We start from the raw sequence: 21,441 nt of genomic DNA on the forward strand, positions 1-21,441 counted from the left end.
CCTAAGAAGAGGTAGGGAACCCCAATTAACTGAGATTTTTCCATCCAAAGCCTTGGATGGAAATCCTAATTCCAAGATGTCCCAGTCACACTAGGACTTGTACTCCAGGGGGCGCTATTCACATCGACTAATACTCTATAGGGGCCATTCCCTTGATTTGGTCACTCATCCTCTTTCCGGTCGTTTGTTTATGCTCTTTCCATTAACCTAGTAATGTCCTTCCCTCTGTCTGTCCATCTCATCGATAAAGCCATGCGTATATGAAGCATAAATGAATTTCCTACTTAGACTTGGGTTCCATCCCCAGTTCATTCCATATTCATTGTCTACATTACACAAATTAGCTATTGTTAAGAATCCCAACCTTGGGCTGGGCACGGTGGCTCAAGCCTGTAATCCCAGCACTTTGGGAGGCCAAGGCGAGCAGATTACTTGAGCCTAGGAGTTTGAGACCCAGGCTGCAAAATGGCGAAACCCTGTCTCTACAAAAAATAAAAAAAAATAGCCGGACATGGTGACACACATCCCAGCTACTTGTGAGGGTGAGGTGGGAGGATCGCTTGAGCCTGGGAAGTCGATACTATTGTAAGCTGAGATCATGCCACTGCACCTGCACTCCGGCCTGGGTGACAGAGCAAGACCCTGCCTCAAAAAAAAAAAAAAAAAAAAAAAAGGAACCCCCATGAGATTATCTATTTGAGAGGAAAAATTCCATTTCACATCTAAACTCATTGAACAGGTATTTATTGAACATCCACTAGGCATCAGGTTGTGTGGTTGTGTATTAGATGCTGGGAATTCAAAGCAAATTATGGCCCTGTCCTCATAGGAAGTCCTGTGGGGGCTGCAGAGCAGTGGCCAGACAGTTGCTATGCCATATGGTAAGTGGGTAAGTGTTAGGGTGATGGAAGGTCAGGATCTCAAGGAGGAAACACAGGGGGTGTCTAACTGGTCTCGGTAGGCCAGAGAATACTTTCTAGAAAAAAGGTATCTCAGTTGAAACTGGAAGGATGTTTATTGGAGATTATTGGCATATCTTCATTTCTGCTTCAAATAGTTACAGAAGAGACTCTTAGTTCAGCAGTAACAGCACAGCAAGTTTATTTTGGGGTTAAAGATACATATTCTTTTCATATCTTGAATGGGTATTAATTCATTCAAAAGCCAAATGATAGAAACTTTGGTTAAGCAATTTAAGTAAAACCTAATTTTATCTATAGAAGTCCTATAGAAGTTCTTCATAATTTTGTTTATATTCAGAGGTAGAAGATCTGTAAATGTAGATCACTGAAATGTTTATAAGATGATTCCTACATTATCTGATTAAAGTATTGATTCATTTAAATATTGAATGCCCACGAGGAGCTTATAGGGAAATAGTGAATGTGTTAGGCCCTGTACTGGACACCTTCCTCTATGTTATCTCACTTCAAAAACACAAACGTGACATTCAAGTTCTATGATAATAGCAACCATTTCTCCATGCTCTTGTATTTGACAATATTCTAATGCATACTTTTTCTCTGCTGTCCCTACTGTGGATGTAAGGCTGTAAACTAGCCCTAGTTTTTTAAAAGAATATTCCAGTTGTCTGTTTTTATCCATGTTGCAGATCGAGCATCCCTAATCTGAAAATCTGAAATGTGAAATGCTCCAAAATCTGAAACTTTTTGAGAACCAATATGAAATAGTGATACCATTGTTTTCTGATGGTTCAATATATACAAACTTTGTTTCCTGCACAAAACTATTAAAAGATGTTGAATAAAATTACCATCAGGCTACATGTATAAGGTGTATATGAAACATAAATGAATTTTCTGTTTAGACTTGGGTCCCATCCCCAAAAGATCTCATTATGTCTGGTCCCAAACATTTTGAATAAGGGACAGTCGACCTGTACTATGAATGAAAACCATTGACATTGCATGTGTATTATCCCCCCACCACACTATGATGTCTCAGAGCAGGGTCTTGTTGACTGTTGAGTCCCTACTGCTCTGCCCAATGCCTGGCTTATGCCAGCACTCAGTGAGTGTCAGTGGAATGAATTTGTTCAAGAAAATAGTGTGTTTGAGAGCTGTTCACCTGAAAAACCATTAAAGGCTAATTATTTGTGTTGAGAACCAATGTAAGTATCCTGGTGGAATATGGAAACAATCCACGATGATTGGTGGAGATTCAGCCCCACTCCTTCTCTACTGAATGAAAACTGGGTATTGCTGCTACTGGAGGGGAAGTGAAGTAAGGAATGCCCCTGATTTGATTATGGTCCAGGGAGCAAGCCCAGGCTTCTGCCTCAGTGCTGGCCTTGGCCTATACCTAGCCAGCCGCACATGGGCTTCCTCTAGAGTTTGCCGTCCATGGATCTGGAACCAACAGCCTGAGCTACAGAGACTGGGCTGGAGCTGCTACCAAGTGCTTGGCCCTGTTTTGCTCTCATTAACCAGGTCAGAATTGCTGGCTGCCGTTGCTGTCAGGTGGGGTGAGTCAGGTCTGTGGGGATGTTTGACATCATAGGCGCCCTCTTATTCTAATCAGCTTGTTTTAGCAGAGCTCCTTTGTATAAACACATCAGCTGAAGGAAGCTCTGAAATGAAGACTGTTACATAATGATTTTATGAATAACATACAGCTTCCTAAAATCAGTCTTTTTCTGTTAGATCTTCAAACCAGGTTTTAGAAGCAAGACAATTTTAGATTCTCATAGTAAGAACAAATTTAGACACCTTCATAAGGTGTGACGCATTTGATGCAAAATATAGATGGACGAGGAATGATGTTGCTTATTAAAAAGTTCAATTAGAGGATGGGCACTAAAATATATATGAACTAAGTTAAGTATGTCAAATGACACACTAAAGGCTAATTAGGTAAAGGGAGAAGTGTACATGACAGGTTTCTGATTTTCTAGCTTTTTAACAGTAAAGGTAACTTTATTTCCAGCATTCGACCAAAATGCAGGGATTTGGGCCACATTTACTTGGCTCCGGGGGAGTTTTTCAATCCTGTTGAAGCACAGCAGGCAAGGCCTGGGTCATGAGAATTCTATGGTGCTGACTGCATTTGGAGCTTAATTATTTAAATGTTTCCAGACTCAAATGACTGATGAGCTAACATATTTTTAATTCAGACTTTCACAGAGCAAGCTATAAGGTGTGTCTTGAGAAACTGATGCTCACTTGAAGTTCCATGCCATGTATTTTATTTCAATAGCCACATTTTAGATGACAAATTTAAAATTGTATCCAAATTTCAAGGGAACAGAGTCCTACATTAGTTCCAGTACCCAGCCCTCTTTCGTGAAGAGGACTAGAGGTGGTTTTGTTGTTGTTTTTAAAGAGAGAAAAAAGTGCTGTTAGAATAAAAATAAAGAATGTTACCAGAATGTTCTACTTAATTTAGCTTTCCAAAGATAAACACACTGGTGAATCATTACATGCTGATGGTGCTATTTAAACATTAATCCTTTAACCTTTTCCTTCTCCCTTCCTGTCTACTGAGTTGGGTGGGTTATAGGTAGCGTCACTTAGGGAAAAGTTTGTTCCTTTTTAGTTTTTCTATGGTTCAAACTATTTCTCGTATAAGCACTATCTACTGGAGACTCTTAAAATAGTACTTTAAAGAATAAAAGAACACTTGAGAATGATTCAGTTGGCGGAGATTCTATAAATTTAGATAATTTACTAATCATTATGCTTATTAAGTAATTTAACTATCTCAAATGAATTACAGATATTTTATAGCACTATCCACATGTTAATTGAATCTTGATCCTCAGGCCTGCAAAACTGGCCATGAAAAATACTTTTGTTGTCCCCAGCAAGCCAGATCTGTGAGTCCCTTTATTCCTCTAGGTCTTCATTTGGTGTCTTTTTAGCGTATGTTCTGTTTTCCAAGTTGGGAGCGGCTAACTAAGCGGGTCGTCCTTTCTCAGAAGGTTTATTTCTTGGTGGTGATCTTGTTATTGAGGCTCACATTTACCTGAACTGCATTAAGAGAGAGACACTCTTACTTATATTTGTATCCCCAGATTGTTAGCAGAATATCAGTAATAAATGCTTAACAGCCAGTGTTTTTGAGTGGATAATATAATAGGTTTTCGACAAGTGAATGTTTTTGAAAACACCAAAACTCTGTGTAAGAATCACAGCCATCAGGCCGGGCACTGTGGCTCATGCCTGTAATCCCAGCATTATGGGATGCCAAGGTGGGAGGATCACATGAGCCTAGTAGTTTGAGATCAGCCTGGGCAACATAGTGAGACCCCATTTTACTAAAAATAAAAAAGTTAGCTGGCTGTGGTGGTATGTGACAGTAGTCCCAGCTACTTGGGAGGCTAAGGCAGGAGGATCGCTTAAGCCCAGGAGTTTGAGGTTGCAGTGAACTGTGATCGTGCCACAGCATTCCAGCTTGAGTGACAGAGTGAGACCTCATCTCAAAAAAAATAAAAATAAAAATAAAAAGAATCATGGCGTCCAACTCTGGGGCTGTTGCTAGGGCTCTGCAGCCCTTGCTGAAAGTCCTGTGAACTTACTTGCTGGCCAGCAGCCCCATCTGCCTTCTGCCTGTGTCTTGCAACAGCCCTATTGCTGCCAGCACAGCCCTCCTGCCTCCTTCCCTCCTGCGTTTCTGCTCCCAGTATGCACATCAAGGTCACATTCTTCTGCTCTATACTCTGGATCTTTCTACACTTGGCATGTATTTTCCCCTCTGTGTTCTCACGCTCCACACTGTGGAAGAACACATTCTCTTGGGAAAACCCATTGTAGGGAGGGACAGGAATGACTTCCAGGAAGATAGTTGCTCAACCTAGCCTCCAAGAAATGAAAGACATACCATTCGTGAGCTGCTTGCTGTCCCTCCCTTGAAGGAATATTGAGGTGGTCTAGGGTATCTCAGTGGTTTTGCTTTTTTGCCTTGAGCAGTTGTACGGAAACATAATACTGGCTTCCAGGTGAGTAGTAAAGACCTCATGCATTTTCATTAAATGTGATTTCTTTTATTCAAGGTGAATATCATCCTCTACCCACAGACCATCCTAAAAATAAAGTGAAATCCCTACTCTCTACAACCCACATGCCAAATGTGAGCAAACATGTTTGGAATAAGGTGTATTACATATGTCATCTTTGCAGAGTTCAGTTGTAATTTGTCCTGGACTCTTGGATTCCTCTTCTGCTGTCTGTTTTTCCTGATGGGAGCCAGTGATAAAAGGATTAAGGAGATCTGATTCCCCCTTCAAACAATACATGGTTCCATTTGTGTTCTAGCATAGAGGTTTTTAAAGTCTTTATTCAGCATTGACCTAAACACTTCTTCCTTTAAGCCACTGAACATGCTGGACCCAGGCTTTGGAATGCCATATAGAGCTAGATTATTGGAAATCCTCCAGGTCCATTATATTGACATTCTTTTTTATAATTTCGCTACCATTTTATCCTGAGAAATTCTCTTTCATTACCTGCTCAAAGCCCATTGCTGGTGCCCTTCCTGATGCTCCTCCTACCACCTGCCATATTTTCTACCTGTTACTCAGCACGCAAGACTTCAGGTGCACCTACGGAAGTAGCGGTGGGGGCTTTGGCTGTTTCTGAGCCTGTTCCTGGGGAGAGGCAACTTTAGTTAAGGTGACTTGATGCATGTAGTTTGTTAAGACAGTGATGATATAGTAGGTCGAAGAATGCCCCCCGCGCCCCCAAAAAAGAACCATATCTTAACCCCTTAAACCTGTGAATATGTTACTTTACATGGCAAAAGGGACTTTGCAGATGTGAAGACGTTAAGGATGTTGACTTAATGATCCTGGGCGAAATGATCCTACATTATTTGGCTGGGCTCAGTGTAATCACAGGATTCCTTATAAGAGGGACAAGAAGGTTAAAAGAGGAGAAGGCAATGTGACAATGAAGACAAATTTTGGAGCAATGAGGCTGTAACCAAAGAATGCAACTGAGCCTAGGAGGTGGAAGAGACCAAGCCAGAGCCTCCAGAGGAATGCAGCCCTTCAGAACACCTTGATTTGAGCCCTACAAGATAAGACTAATTTTGGATTTCTGACCCAGAACCATCAGAGTAAATTTTGGCTGTTTTAAGCCACTAAATTGGTGGTAATTTGTTACAGTAGCAACAGGAAACTAATACTGATGAAAAGATAATAGGAAAGGAAAGTAAAAGCAGAAGTGTGGGCCAGGGAGGGATCGCAGTCATCTGATGGCAAAGCACTTCTCTAAGAACAACCACATGGCTTCCCCTTCCTGGCCTATGTCCCTGTGGATATGTTAGAACCTGGTTAACCTTGACTGTTATCCAGTGCCTTTCCTGGCTTTGTCCTTCGTATCAGATGCAGATGTTTTATCTCCTTTTTTTATGGCTCCCAGGAACTTTCTATGACCCCCTTAGAGGAATCACTAGACCTCATGTCTCAAAGACTAGCTAAGTGTTTGCTGTGGTCCTAACAAGTCCACCTAGAGCCATTTAAATGGCTGGCATTGATGCTTTCTGTTATCTGTTCCAGGTTTAGTGGCGTGAATAGTAAACATAGTAGATTAGTCCTTTGTAATTAAATTTAGATAGCATCTCACCCCTGACTCTTTTAGAACAATGATGGCAGTGGGAGGAGTCAGAGAGGTCAGTCCCCAGTTAAATCAGTCAGGCATTTATTGATGACCCTCTGGGTACTCAGCGCTTTGCTCTAGGTGTCCTAAGCTGATCTGAAAAATTGGGGTCACCTCCAATTCTTTTTTCAATGAAGTCCTGGATAAGGAGACAAAAGCAGAATGGTGAAAAAGAATCATTCTCTCAATTAATCTAAAGCCTATGTGTTAATACTCTTTAAAAAAATAAAACTACTAGATGGCAAGTGTACTTTCGTAGGAGAAAACTAAACTTTCATTAGGCTATTTAAGGAGATCAGGCAGAAATTGATTCATGAGAGAAAAAAGTAACATGCTTTTTAGGCATTTTTAGGAATTTTGGCCCTGCCTGGACCACACTGTTTATTGATTCATCCATCACTTATCTGGTCATGTATTTATTCTAGAAACAATTGTTGAGTACTCAGTAGTGTTCTGGGAGCTACGAGGAAGACCTTGACAAGATTTCTACGTCTTTCATGGAAGCAATCAATACATGTTTGATAAGAAGTAACCCAACTTAACAAATGTCGTATTACTAAAGAAATGCTTATTAATTTAAATTTAAGTCAAGCAGAGCCTAGAATACTTGTTTGATGAATCCCAAACAGCCTACGGAGGAAATTTTTTGAGTTGCAAAGGGTGCTTCCCTTGCTAGCCTATAAGAACAGCTCATTAAGATCCAACCTATACCTTTCCCCCTTTCTATGCTGTATTAAGACATACCACCCTTTCTTTATAGAGTCATGAGTCTGCAAGGGATTTGAGAGGTCAGCAGGCCATTCTGCTGACTTGGGCCCAAATGCTTTCAGGAGCCAGGCAGGCCATGTAAGTGTGTGTAGCTCAATGTGAGACAATTGGGAGTGGTGGAAACTTTGGCAAACTCAGAGCAGATGCCTTGTCTAAAGCTTTCAAGGTTTGGCCTGGCCAAATGATCATGTCAGTGAGCTGGATTTGATTAGACTACCAGTTGGCAGCTCATGATTCTAATCTGAGAAAACAGTAGTCTGACCCTTTCTTAAAGTCTACTAGAGAGAATCACCTTTTTGAGTATGGATAGCAGGCTGCCCGCCGTCCGGCCGGCATGAGCCTGCCAGCCACATCATTGGAGGGGAACTTGCTATGTTATTAGGATGGGTACCCATCATATTTCCAACTAACTGGTGGCTTGTGGAGAGAACTTGTGCAAGCTGTATATTCCTGAAGCAGCTTCTCTGAACCAGTTTTTCCCTTTGTTTGCTGGTTTTGTAACAGTAGACTCATCCATAAGCAGCTGTAACTGCCCTTTAAGCAACAGGCTACCCCTTTGGCTGATCGATATGTTCAGAAGCCCTTTTTTGCCAATAGTCAGCACCATGTCAAACAGATGCCTTCCTCTGCATTCCAGTGACCTGGTGGCATTGCTGCCAACTCAATAATTTTTTGAGCATTGGCCATAATAAAGTATAGGTACAGTTCTTAAAAACTATTTTTAAAAATCCTTGAAGTGATAAATAGATTGAGCTAAATAATGGTAAGCATATATCCTTCTGCTTTGATTTACAGATTTATAATTTAGTCTTCCTTCAGGAATAATTTTTAAATGCAGCCATCTCCTGGAATTTAGAAAGAGGCCTGTATCTCAATGCCTTTTACAGGCAGTAATTCTACCATGTTTATTTTCATACCAAGACTATTGAGTGCTATTGAGGGCGAAGTGATTGTTTTGTTTAGTTTTGTTTTGTTTTGCCAAGGCAAAAAGAATAGCTTTAAACATTTCATTAGTCAAATTGAGACAGAAGCCTGAAGCTTTAAAAGAAATTATGCTTTTGCATTGAAAGCAGAAGTTCAATAAAATAAGATTCTATAAAAAGAAGTTGGGCCTATACATTGAGCCTGGCCATTCCTGGTAAATATTGTAGAATGAAGAGATGACACATGAACATGCTACAATACGAAAGACCTGAGTTTGAATCCAGATCTATCATTTGTGCATCTTGAGGCACATTTCTTAACCTCTCCAAGCCTTAGTTTCTTCATCTATAAAATGGGAATAATAATAGTACCAAACTCATTCTTGCTGTTATGTTTTAATGAAATAAATGCATAAAGAAAGTATTAGGCACCGTGCCTGGTAAATAGTCAATGTTCAAAAAATGAAAGCTGTGGTCTCTGGCTTGAGACTCAGATACAGGTGTCAGTTGTGGGTTCCAATTCTGGAGGAGAAGGAAGAAAGCCCAGAATCTTCTTTGAGAAAATCAGAATCTTCTGGAAAAAAAGGCCGTCTTGGGATGGCCTTTAGATCTGTACAGGTTGCTGGTCAAAGTGTCTGATGAATTGATTTTCACTGCAATGGCCAGAGCTTCCCCAACATGTTTTTGCAGGGCCAGGCCAATGTTGAGCCTCCTTCTCAGAGGGCTGCTTGCAGGTTTTTTTAGGAGTACAATGCTGGGCTAAGGCACACTAGACTGACACCTAAGAAATCTCATTTAGATGTCAGAATTTGCTTCCTAAGCACTCTTGGGTTAACTGGTTTTATTAGAAAAGCTAAACATATTTCACATATTGAGGAACCCTCTCTCTATGACTTTGGCAGAGTTCCTTTTGTGCCTTTCACGGAGATAGGCTTTTTAGTTTTCCAGCCACCAGGGCATTCACTTTGAGATTCATTGCTGAGTAAGTGCCATCTGTGTGGACTCCTGGGTCCCAGATGGTCCTTTGTTTTTGCTCATTCTTCTGCATTGTTACTGTAAGAGAAATACATTCCCACGCTTTTTATGTATTAGCAATCTTAAAATATTTTGGAATTCAACTCATGCCTTCATTTTCAGTGGAAGGTCTTTTTTGTTTGTTTGCTTGTTTGTGGTTTTAATTTTTAAAAAATTTTTAATTATTATTGATACATAATAGTTATACATATGGGTTACATCTGATATTTTGATGCAATCATACAACTTGTAATGACCAAATCAAGGTAATGGAGATATTCATTGCCTCAAGCATTTATCATTTTTTATGTTAGGAACATTCCAATTCCACTCTTTTAGTTATTTTGAAATATAAAATACGATTGTTAACTATAGTCACCTCATTGTGCTGCCTAACATTAGTTCCTTTAGTTTTGTTTTCACTCTCGCTCTCCCCCTCCCTAATAGTTTTATGGTTTTGAAGTCATCTCCACCTTGTCCCTCTAACCTTCCCATCTAGTCAGGTTTTCTAATGACATCTTGAGGAAATTTCTGCTCAATTTTGAGGGCATACTGCCGATCCAGTATTTAGGGACCCACGTGAAGCTTAGTTAATTATTGATTATGAAGACTTATCCTCTCCCTGCCCCTCAAGGCTTTATAAAGCCATGGCTCCTGGAACTAAGGCATCAGCCATTTGTTTTTCCAACCTCATTTCTTGAGCCAGGACTCTCCATTCAAGCAGAGCCTGGCTCTGATTGCTCCTTTCTCATGTGGAGCTCTTTTAGAGCCATTACTACATAGGAGCTGCGCATCTGGCCTTGACCTCTGCTTTTGTCCCTTGGGTACAGCAGGACATTGCAGAAACCTCACCCACAGCCTTCAGCTTTTGGCTCCCTGCTCATTCATCGAAATGGTCAGCTAGCTTCTTGTGCCTAGCTGTGATTTACCTATTTAATATTTTATCTATCATTGCTATGTGTTTGGAGCAGTGGGGTGTTGTCCAAGTGTGGATTCACCAAACCACCTTGGCCAAAAGTCCAAACTTGTCGGAAGACTGTGTCTGATGGATGTTGCCTTATGTAAGGTCCAGACACCAGGCAATCTGGATGTGCAGAAAAGTTTCACAGCCTCTGCATTAAGATGGTAAAGAGGGTAAGTGTGGGCTGGGCACAGTGGCTCATGCCTGTAACCCCAGCACTTTGGGAGGCCGAGGTGGGCAGATCACCCGTGGTCAGGAGTTTGAGACCAGCCTGGCCAACATGGCAAAACCCCGTCTCTACTAAAAATACAAAAACTAGCCAGACATGGTGGTGCATGCCTGTAATCCCAGCTACTCAGGAGGCTGAGACAGGAGAACTGCTAGAATCCATGAGACGGAGGCTGCAGTGAGCCAAGATTGCACCACTGCACTCTAGCCTGGGTGACAAGAGCAAGACTCTGTCTCAAAAAAAAAAAAAAAAAAAAAATACTTGGAAGTAGCTAAACTAATTGAAGACATTTAAAAATGTCTTTACCTCCAACAATTTGCTGTTAAAAAATTATTCGATGACACTTGTTCAAGCACGGTAAGGCAGGTTTTATTTGGGACCATTGCAATAGGTATAGGGACCACTGCCATGGGATTTTGCAGTCGGGGAGAGGGATTGGACTCAACTTTGAATATAACAGGGAAAAAAATTATAGCCAAGGAGCAGTGTATGTTGCTCTGCCTTAAAAAAAAAAAAAGAGGTATCAGGCACACTCCAAGGACCATGAATAAGGGAAGAGAAGCAAACGTTATCCAGAAATTCAGGAGACCCCTCCCCACACCTTACATCAGAAGAGAAACCTCAAAAGGAGAATAGTTAGGCAGAATAGAAAACAGTCATGTCAAATAGCATTGGCCTAAAATCCACATAGTAGAACATTGGATAAATGTATAATCTTTCTTGCCCAGATCTTCCTGGAAACACTATCTGTTGCAAAACTTTCTCCTATCAACTGTTTTTGGTTAATAGTTCAGGGATTTGGTTTAGTACCTTGGAGAGCTATATATCCAAGCATTTTGCTTGTCAAAACTATTTGATAGCTGTATTTGTAAAAGCAGTGGCTCAAATGTTTTTAGAAGAGATTTTCAGCTGGGTGGGGTGGCTCATGCCTGTAATCCCAGCACTTTGAGAGACCGAGGTGGGTGGATCACTTGAGGTCAGGAGTTCAAGACAACCTGGCCAACATGGTGAAACACTGTCTCTACTAAAAATACAAAAAGTTACCTGGGCATGGTGACAGGTGCCTGTAACCCCAGCTATCCAGGAACTGAGGCTCGAGAATCACTTGAACCCGGGAGGCAGAGGTTGCAGTGAGCCGAGATCATGCCACTGCACTCCAGCCTGGTGACAGAGAGAGACTCTGATTCAAAAAAAAAAAAAAAAAAGAGAAAAGAAAAGAAGACACTTTCAGTAGAATATGTTCCAAAATGAATAGGGAGCAAGCTTTCTCATTGGTAGTCAATGTTCTGATTCTTTGGATGAATCAGAAACTCAAAAGGTTGAAATAGTCAGATAGGCCCATTTGAGTATCCAAGAGATCTACTGGACCAAGCAATCTAATTACGTGGACAGTTTACTCTTTTACTTCTCCATCCTGAGAAACAGAGCCTGATCTTGTAAGAAAGGATTCCAATTCATCCTCTAAAAGTAAAACTATGTTCTTTTTAGCCTGTGATTTTGGAGTCTCTCTGCCCCTTGGAGTGGTGTTTCTGCTCTTTTTCTCCATAGAATCCATCTGAACTGGCCTTTATCCCCCTGGGCTCGAATTTCAGTTAGGAAAGGCAGAGTATTATTGCCACCTATTGCCATCAGTTCTTCTCTGTGCTTCCAATAAGTGAGAGCTTCTCGTAGGAAAGTTAAGAAGTAATGTGACCCAGTGCACTGGCTCATGCCTGTAATCCCAGCACTTTGGGAGGCAGAGGCGGGTGGATCACCTGCGGTCAGGAGTTCAAGACCAGCCTGATCAACATGGTGAAACCCATCTCTACTGAAAATACAAAAATTAGCCAGGCGGTGGTGATTACAGGTGGTGAGCACCTGTAATCCCAGCTACTCGCGAGGCTGAGGCATGAGAATTGCTTGAACCCAGGAGGTGGAGGTTGCAGTGAACCAAGATTGCGCCATTGCACTCCAGCCTAGGCAACAGAGCAAGACTCCGTCTCAAAAAAAAAAAAGAGAAAAAAAAGAAAAGCAAGCAGAACTTTTATAGGGAGCCAAGACATTATCTTCTTTGTTAAAACTGAGAGAGACAGTTGCTAATAGGGTTTTTTTTTTTGTAGAAAGATGTGCTTGGTGATGCGTTTGAAGACTCAGGGCCCCACAGCAGCCTTGCTGTTGCCACCTCAGCCAGACAGGCCCGGCATCCCAAACATCATACAACCAACCCCAGGCAAACACTCTCTTAAAAAACCCAGATAGTGAGGGGTTGTGTCCTTCTTTCGAAGGTGGGATCACACTGAGGGTACTTGGATGCAGGTGCTCCAAATTACCCCAGCCTCAAACAAGTTTGTCGAACTCTAGGCAAGCTGAGTATATACTCATGGGAAGGTTAATAAAAATGGGAACGAACCCCATGTTTAGAAACATAATGGAGAACATTAGGCTTATCGATGCCTCTACCATGCCCACAGCATCTCTGGGGCCATAGGAAAGGGCCTGGTGAACATTTTATAACCAGGCATTCCCCAGCTACAGCATATTAATTGTGGGTGTGAATTAAATCAAGGGAGGGAGTGGATTCTCCCTGGAGCTTGAGGAAAATGGTCCACTTACTGTGCTTTTTCACGGTTGCATTGCCCTTCCTCTGATGCTGGGGAGGGACAGAGGAGGGGCAGTGGTGGAGCCAGTTACCAATACAGAGAATTGGGAAGCAGTTAGGTCCTCGGCAATGAATGCAGTTTTTGAACAGGGCTTAATTTATAATGGACACTCAACATTAATTTTCTGATTTCTAGACATTTTTCCATGTTGCCCATTTCTTGTTTATCTCTTAGTGGAGATGTTTAAGTATTTATAGGCAAGGGAGGGAGATGTTAAGTTCCTAAATACCTAGGGGAATCCTGTGACAAAATAGTATTAAGAATTATTTTCTGCCATTTTATTTTTATTTTATTGTAAATTGACAAATTATAACTGTATATATTTATGGGGTATGATGTGATATAATGACATATGTGTACAATGTGGGATGATTAAATCCAGCTAATTAACACATCCATCACCACAAATACTTGTCATCTACCATTTTAAATTGCAAAAATGGACTGAAGGACCACAGTCCTTCAACTGAAACCCTTGGAGTCAGTTGTGTTTCAGAATTCAGAATTTTATTTTAGAAAGGTAATAGAAAACATATGCTACTTATTATGAATCACTCCTAGCAGGATCTGGGAAGATTCTTAGAACCTATAATATTAAACATTTCTGTAGCAAACATGATTATTTGCTCTAAGTGGAATAAGTAAAGATTTTTAATAGCGTCACGTCACTTCAAGTTATGACACTAAATGCATTTTGGAGCGAAACTTACAAAAAACAATATTTTTAAAACTTTCTGGATTTTAGACTTGTGAGTAAAGATTAGATTTTATATAAATCGCATTGTGAGTTAGGGAGTGCTTAATGGACTGGCCTTGGAAGCCAGTCAGTATTTATGGAAAAAAAAGTGTGTTTCGAACGACCAATAAAATGAACTTTTGGAACATAATCCATTTGTCATTTAAGGACTAACAGTATTAATAAAAATGACTGAGAGTCAGATTTTGAACTGTGGACAAAGCTAATATAAATATATTCATATTAGGCAATAGGCACTGCCAATAGATGAGACTTCTTAGCTACTCCTTACCCACATCTCAGCTTTGATGATGTATCTTCTCTCTCTGTTACCTTTATTTCCCTGTTATCTCCTCTTTTTTTTCTTAAAAATAGTTAGTTTGTCCTAGATTTGGAGCTTATAACACTCACTCTGGATAGTTGGCAGGTCTTAATCAGGGCAAGTAGACGAGGTATAGAAACCCAGTGATTTCAGTCTTACGGGATCCAAGCAAATTTTTTAAAAATATATAAAGATGATTTTTTAAATTCATAGAGTGATATACCTTTAAAATTGTGTGACAGAATTGAAATGACAGGGTTAAAAATCTCAGGTTAAAAATCACTGAGAAATTCAGCTTTTATTTGAGGAAAACATTTCTGAACTATCACTGACGTAAACAAAGTGTTTTGTTTAAACAATAAAAGAACCTCATATCTATAGGAAATCCTGAAGTTACATTAAAAACAAAAATACTTAAACCTAGAAGCTGTTACAATGGGAAACTAGACTATAAATAATTTGTGACCGGTGTGTCACTAGGAATTCCAATGGCATAAAGAAATGCTTAATAAACAAATTGCCTTTCAAATTTGGCAACTCTGGGGATATAACACTATGAACTGTTTTTTTAAAATTCTGTCTGTATAAAAGACCTGGAGAGCCTAACTATACTGTGGATTCATTTCATCGTAGGTCCTATGAGGTCATTGCAAATCTTTGTACTATATTTGAGAAAACAGTTGCGCTGTCCCCAGCATCTAATGTCATGACAGCCACGAGGCCTGGCACCTGATTTCTCCAGCACTGTGTTCACCCTTGTGTCCTGACAGCGTAAGCAGTTTTTGGTGTCTTTGAGAGTCATCTTTACACAGCCAAATTAAACGAAAGAAGTGAAGTAGGGCCTTCCTGTGTTAGTCAGTCTTTCCTGATCTTCACATTTCTTTAGCCACAGATGATAACGGACTGTAGAATCCCCTAACCTCTTTTGACAGTTCTTTCTTGAATTATTAGTGACATTCGGTGAAAATATTTGAATTTCTCTGTTAGGATAGGTGAGCAGAAATGCTGATCAGAAATAGAAGAACTAGTCATGATGAACATAACTAAAATGGAATGGCAATACTCAACTTCCTAATATTTATTTGGAACAGAGATATTAAAGATAGTCTTTATTTTTCAATGTTTTATCTGCTACTCCCTGCCTCCTCCCCCAACAACAACCAAAACACTTTAAAATTTTAAATTGAAAAGTTGCCCAGTCATTCAGTGAGGTCAATGATAAAGGCTGAACCATATTTAGACAAACCCCAAGGAAAGGATAATGTATTGTATTTTTAAATATTCCTTTTTACCTTTTCATGATCAGTGCCTCTTCCTGCTCCTGTTTGCCCTGGCATCTTTTGGAAAGCTCTGTGTTTTGCATAGCATGTGCACTTTTTTTCCTGAAATGTGCAACACATTCAACATTGCAGTGATTTTTTTCCCCCTCCTTAGCTTAGAGCAGAGGTGGAAACCCCAGGGGATTCAAGTACCCACTTGATAGGCTCAGTCTCTCTTAATCAGCCTGTAATGGAGCTAATGGCTGTTTGTCATCCTTGGAGATATAAATTTCCTGGCGGTGTCTCCTGCAGACAGTGCATGAAGTATGCTCAGTGTGCCAGCAAGGGCTGATAATCAGCAGAAGGACAGGGTGCTTCGTTAGTCAGAAGAGCCAGGGCTTCCCGGCTGCCAGGCTACAGAACTCGCCTCGCCACTCCTGAGACATGGACAACGCCGGTGGGTAAATCAAGCATGAATTCTTCATAGCTGCTGGCTTCCTTTGCAGCCCGCATCCTTTACTGCGGAAGGTTTGCCTATTTGTTGCTCTCGTTTTGCACTTAAATGTTCAAGACTGAGACGCGTGTAATATGTGAACCCCGATGCATTGTCCACAAGACAATTAGTGTTTACTTTGAAGTTTAGGAACTGGGAATGCAGATTGTATTCCAAATTCACCTTTTGTGAAGACTACTGCTATTTAGGCTGAAGCAAGTGTGGTGTTTGATTCTTTTGTGCTCAGAGCGATGGGTGGAAAATGCATACAGTTAGTGAAAAAACTATTACTAAGGGATGGCACAAGGTAGATGGAATTAAGTTAATGAGCTGAGCAAAAATTCTGTGTAAATATTACAATATGCACAGTGTAACAGCATAAGAGCTCTTTGGTCTGATGCTTTCATCTTCACGTTAGGATGCAATGTCGAAAATGTTTCGATAGCCTCTGATATTTTAATTTCAGAATAGAGACATTAGTGGTCAATTGTGAACCTTTAAAAATGTACTTATTTTTAGTATCTTTACTTGATAACTAGACAAACAGATGATTGAAGTATGTTAATGTCAATTAAATAATTAGCATAAAATTATCAGGTGGAACTTTTTTCTTTTTACTTTGCTGTATTGAACTTTTAGAGGAGATATACTGTGAGATCATGCCCCATTTCAGTGTTGTCGGCACTCAAGCAGAATTCTCCCAGCTGTGTTATGGATTATCTGTCTCCTGAAGCTCATTAGTTCAGTTACGCAGCTGGTATCAGCTTGAAGGTGATGCTTCCCATGCCTTGAGACACGGTCAGCTCTTCTAAGAGGTTACATCATTTAAAACACATTCTACACTACAAGACCACCCATTGATGGTGAAACATATTTGTTTATGAAATTGAGCTAGTTCAGTCCTCGGCACAGGTAGCATAGGCTAGCAGAGATTTTAAAGTCAGCGTGTATTAGGTTCTTTTATGAAATAGCTTACCAGGAACAAAACTCTGTGACTAACATTATTTGGTCATTGCCATTGAAGATATTGAAATAAAGTGGAACAGTATAATATCAGGGATGAAAATGTTAGGGTGGTGGAAGAAATGAAACAAGTGTAAGGATGTGTGTGTAGTAGTAGCAGGAGTGAAGCTGGATGCATGTATATGGATTATACCCCCATTCTGGTCATTAAAAAAAATGTACTATAGGGCTTGTCATAAAAGCAGGTAGGTATGGTATTCCATGACAAGGCACAATTTGAAGATCAACCAAAAGCTTCTCTAATTACAGTGGTAGAGTGAGTAAAAATTAAATAAATAAACTTAGAATCTCTAATTTAGCCTCATTTAAAACTTCTGCCACCCACAATTTATTATACTGACATTCTGGCAGAACGATCACTTTAATTCAAGTAAATGCCTTTTTAAACTGACTCATATATTTATTTAAAGGCCATTTAAAAAAAGGAAAGAAACTCCTGTGGCAGACTTTATGTAGGCTTAAAAATGCTAAGGGTTATTTTTCTTTTTTGGGTAACTAGAGCTTTGGGGGATGTTTTCACAATCTCTAGTTATGTTATTAAATGCAATTAATAAAATACCTCTGCTCTTGATGAGTTTAAGATTATTTAAACACTGTGGAGAGTGGCTTGTAAAGTAGCAATTTCTATATCATTTCAAATTTTAGGTGTAATCTCAAATATAGCCATACATACCTTTGAATAGAATAACGGGTTTTAAATCACATAATTTGAATGCTTCAGAAATAGCATGTTTCTTATAATGGCTTATAATTGGCTGTCAGTGATCACTTTTCATGGTAATTTTTTGATGAGGTAAGCAGCCTCTCTTACAGGAGGAAAATGTAAACATCCATTATATACAGACATTTCAATACATTATATTGACTGTAAGGGAAGCATTTAAGATAAAACTGGTAAGTGGCAAAAAAAAAAATCTGAAAAATCTGAAATAACTTGGAGCACTACAGTTTCTCCAATTTAATTTAAAGAAGATAATGATGTTGAGTATTTGCCTAAATTTTTCTAATCAGAAATGAATTGAGGCCCTGGATTTCAGAGCTAGTAGTTTAGAGCGGGGCACTCGTACTGACAACTGGATCATTAGTTTCAAGGAGCCAGACCTTCTTCTAGCAAGGCTTTCTGTGTGGGAGTTTGGATAATTGACAGGCAGAAGCACAGCAATGGGTCCACACAGGTTGAATGTCCCTCATTTATTCAAGTCACATAGAACGCTGCATCAGGATATTTGTGCATGGTTTCTGCTGTTAACAAGTAAAGTAAGATGAGCTGCTTGGGACTCCGGCCCTTTTGGTGGGTGTGTGTACATTTCAGCTATCATGGCATTGTGAATCTGTCCTTTCTCTCCTTAGCAGCAAAGAGCTGACATTCCTACTATCTCAGAGAAGGAGACATCCCTTCCCCATAATTGCTGGCTTCTGTATTCCTTTAAAAGCTTTTCCTGGAATAACAATAAAATATTTATCAAACTGTGTGTGTGGAATATGTCAGGGCAATTTTAGCAATATCTAACATTTTCTTCTTTTTTTTTCAAATGGCTATTTCTTCTTAGAAGTTATATAACAAGTCAAATAGATGGTGCTTTAGAATGGCACACCTGTGACTACAAGCATCATCAGCATTCTGCCAGTGCCACTATCCTCCTTACCTCCATCAAGTGGTTCTCGTGAATGAACTGTGATAAGACATTCAGAGGCAAAGTTGATTGGTGTGTGTTTTTTATCTGAAACACAATTTTTGAAATGTAATCCCATATTCTACAGTGCAGAGTACTGTTAAAAAAAAAAAGTTCTGCAGAATTTATTGTGTTGGGTTTTCCCTACTTGATATCAAGATATTTCAGTTACCATGTGTGGGTTGAAAGAGCCACACTCATTTGGAGGGGAGGTGGCAGCTGCTGAGAGCCCCTGCGCCTTCACCGTGCATTCTAGCTCAGTGGTTCAAAGCCTTTTGACAATTGATGTACATTCATTGAGTTTGAGAAGGTCACAGTCTGCCAGCTCCCTGCAAAAGAGACTCGAGAGTTATTTGGAGCCAGACTGAGGAAGGGTTTGGAGTGGAGTAGTCGAGAGCATCAGATAATTTTAGCTGAACGTTGGCTCTGCTACCTGTCATCCCAGTGACTGTGAACAAGTAATAGAAACTCTATGCATTTAATTTTCTCATTGGTAAGGGGTGACAATAATGGTACCCATCTCATAGGATTGCTATGAGGAGAAAATAAGATAACTCCTGTAAAGCTTTTGGTACAATGGCTGGCATATGGCAGCATACAATGCATGTTGGCGTTTTAGAGAGTCATCAAAAGATTGAAGCAGGTTGCTTTATGAACAAATAAATATATGCTCCAGCAGCGTGGCTCTGAAAGTGGTGTGGATGACAGTGTGGGAAAGTGAGCAATTCTGAGCAAAGAGACTAGTCAAGTGGCTGTCTCAGAAGTAGAACTGGAAATTTATGTGGGTGGTGCAATGGGCATGGGGTTGGGGGATGCATTGGATATGCATCAGCAGAGCACGACGAGTGGATATGGAGGCAGGGAGAACTGCAGCAGTCAAAGGAGACCCTGGAGGTTTCCCGTTAGAGAATTTAAGACAGTAGTCCTGCACTACTGAACACAAGATGAGTTTTCAGAGAAAGACAGTGAGTTCCATTTTGACATTGTTGGGTTTGAAATACCTTGTGTGTTGCCCACTAGCCATAGTAGTTGGTTCACTGATGACTATTTAATCCACTTAAAGGATTAAAAAGGATTCCTGCCTCCTCTCCCTCCAGTCTGTGGGAGATTCTATGGGATGGTACAGAGAAAGGAAACTTTCAAATGCTTCATCTTTTTTTATAGATGGAAATAAGACCAGGCAAAGAGAAACATGCTCCTAAGCATTGCAATAATTAGGGTAAAGGCCAGGCTGTCACATAAGAAAATGTAAGCACGAAGACATTTCATTTCAAGCTGGTTCAAAACCTTAGCAGCCCAGGTTGTCATGCCAAAGTTCCTGAACAGCTAAAGATGGTGACTCAGGAGAAGGGTTACCTAATGGGGCAGAGATCCAATAAGAATGCATATGTTTTGAAAGAGGATGCTTTCTAGAATATTTGACTATGTTTGCAAACTCTATTTTTTGCAATTAAAATTTTGTTTCCTCTAATCCTCCACTTTCATGATCTCTTGGTCTTACTATCTATAATTTTGTTAACCATGATACTTTTTAGAAATTTATTAATGTTATATATACACACACACACACGTACATAATATGTACACATGCATTTGCATGTGTATTGTTAATATATGTACGTATGTGTGGATTCTTTATTTAGGGGATTGTCAGCCTTGATGTAGGGGAATGTAATGTTGCTAGCTCTTCTAAAAAACTTGATAAAAAATTAGAACAGATTTTCTTTTAAATTAAAAAAGAAACTCATTCTTATCCTCTGAAATGCCTTTATGTTGTAAAGATTATTATTTAACATTTTATTAACTACCAAGCAAATGACAGTATTTTCCTTTGAATTTATTGTGAAACCCATTGTGCTATTTTAGCATTTTAGGTTTCACAAAATAAATATTCTTAGAAGCATCCAGGATTCATGTAAATATATTTTTGTTTTTCTTTTTTTTGAGACGGAGTCTTGCTCTGTCGCCCGGGAGTGCGGTGGCGCAATCTCGGCTCACTGCAAGCTCCGCCTCCCAGGTTCACGCCATTCCCTGGCCTCAGCCTCCCGAGTAGCTGGGACTACAGGCGCCTGCCCCCATGCCCGGCTAATTTTTACATTTTCAGTAGAGACGGGGTTTCACCGTGTTAGCCAGGATGGTCTCAGTCTCCCGACCTCGTGATCCACCCGCCTCGGCCTCCCGAAGTGCTGGGATTACAGGCGTGAGCCACCGCGCCCGGCCCATGTAAAGATATTTTTCTAAGCAAAAAGTTAAAATTTGATAAATAATCTGTTTTTTGGAGCATCTGTTTTCAAAATGCTAGTATTACCAAAATAACTGTTTTAAAATAAAAATGCCAAAAGGAAAAATCAGTTCATATATAAACATAAAAGTACTGTGAAAGTGGGACTAAATTTTCTTCCTAGTTTTACTCTAATAGTGTAGTGACTGTGACCTCCTGCGAGTAAACTGACAGTCATGGCCCAAGAGTGTGCAGAAGCAGGACAAAGTCTTTGTTTTTGAAATGAAGTTTTGACTTTTGTTTCAGGATCACTGGAATTTGTTCTGAGCGTTTCTTTCTTTGCAAACGCTCATCTTTCCAAAGGCAGAATGAATTGTGATTTTTCTGTATCACCAAGATGAAATAGAAATCCTTGTCAAATGGCTTCTGTCGAGAACAACTGTTAGAAAAGATATAAAGCACAAGCAAAAATGCATTTTGGTGATAGAGGAATCAGTAATCAACATTTTCTAAATTATACGCCATTCCATATTAATTCCACAGGTTATTAAATAAACTCCCCA

At 39.9% G+C, this 21,441-nt stretch overlaps 1 protein-coding gene across 5 annotated transcripts in view, besides 1 other annotated feature; it reads left to right on the forward strand.

The window, feature by feature from the left end:
• The window catches only part of PHACTR2 (phosphatase and actin regulator 2), a 294,308-nt gene that overhangs the window by 55,520 nt on the left and 217,347 nt on the right, over positions 1-21,441 (forward strand). For 4 of the 5 annotated variants that reach the window (NR_172204.1, NM_014721.3, NM_001100166.2 and 1 more), the window contains exon 1: positions 15,783-15,925. The exons of the other annotated variant lie outside the window; for it this stretch is intronic. Coding sequence is in view for 3 of the 4 variants with exons in the window: in NM_014721.3 (NP_055536.2) it covers positions 15,913-15,925 (13 nt within the window). In the remaining variant the exon portion in view is untranslated. Of the gene's footprint in view, positions 1-15,782; positions 15,926-21,441 lie in introns of those variants that run through there. 5 annotated transcript variants of the gene reach the window in all.
• Positions 11,181-11,381: a silencer, noted in NCBI's record as "peak6177 fragment used in MPRA reporter construct". NCBI's record gives its function as "represses an SCP1 promoter by STARR-seq MPRAs in K562 erythroleukemia cells {active_cell/tissue: K562}" and the evidence as "EXISTENCE:reporter gene assay evidence [ECO:0000049][PMID:32103011]".

This window comes from Homo sapiens, chromosome 6, assembly GCF_000001405.40.
Source record: "Homo sapiens chromosome 6, GRCh38.p14 Primary Assembly".
NCBI classification, from domain to species: domain Eukaryota; kingdom Metazoa; phylum Chordata; class Mammalia; order Primates; family Hominidae; genus Homo; species Homo sapiens.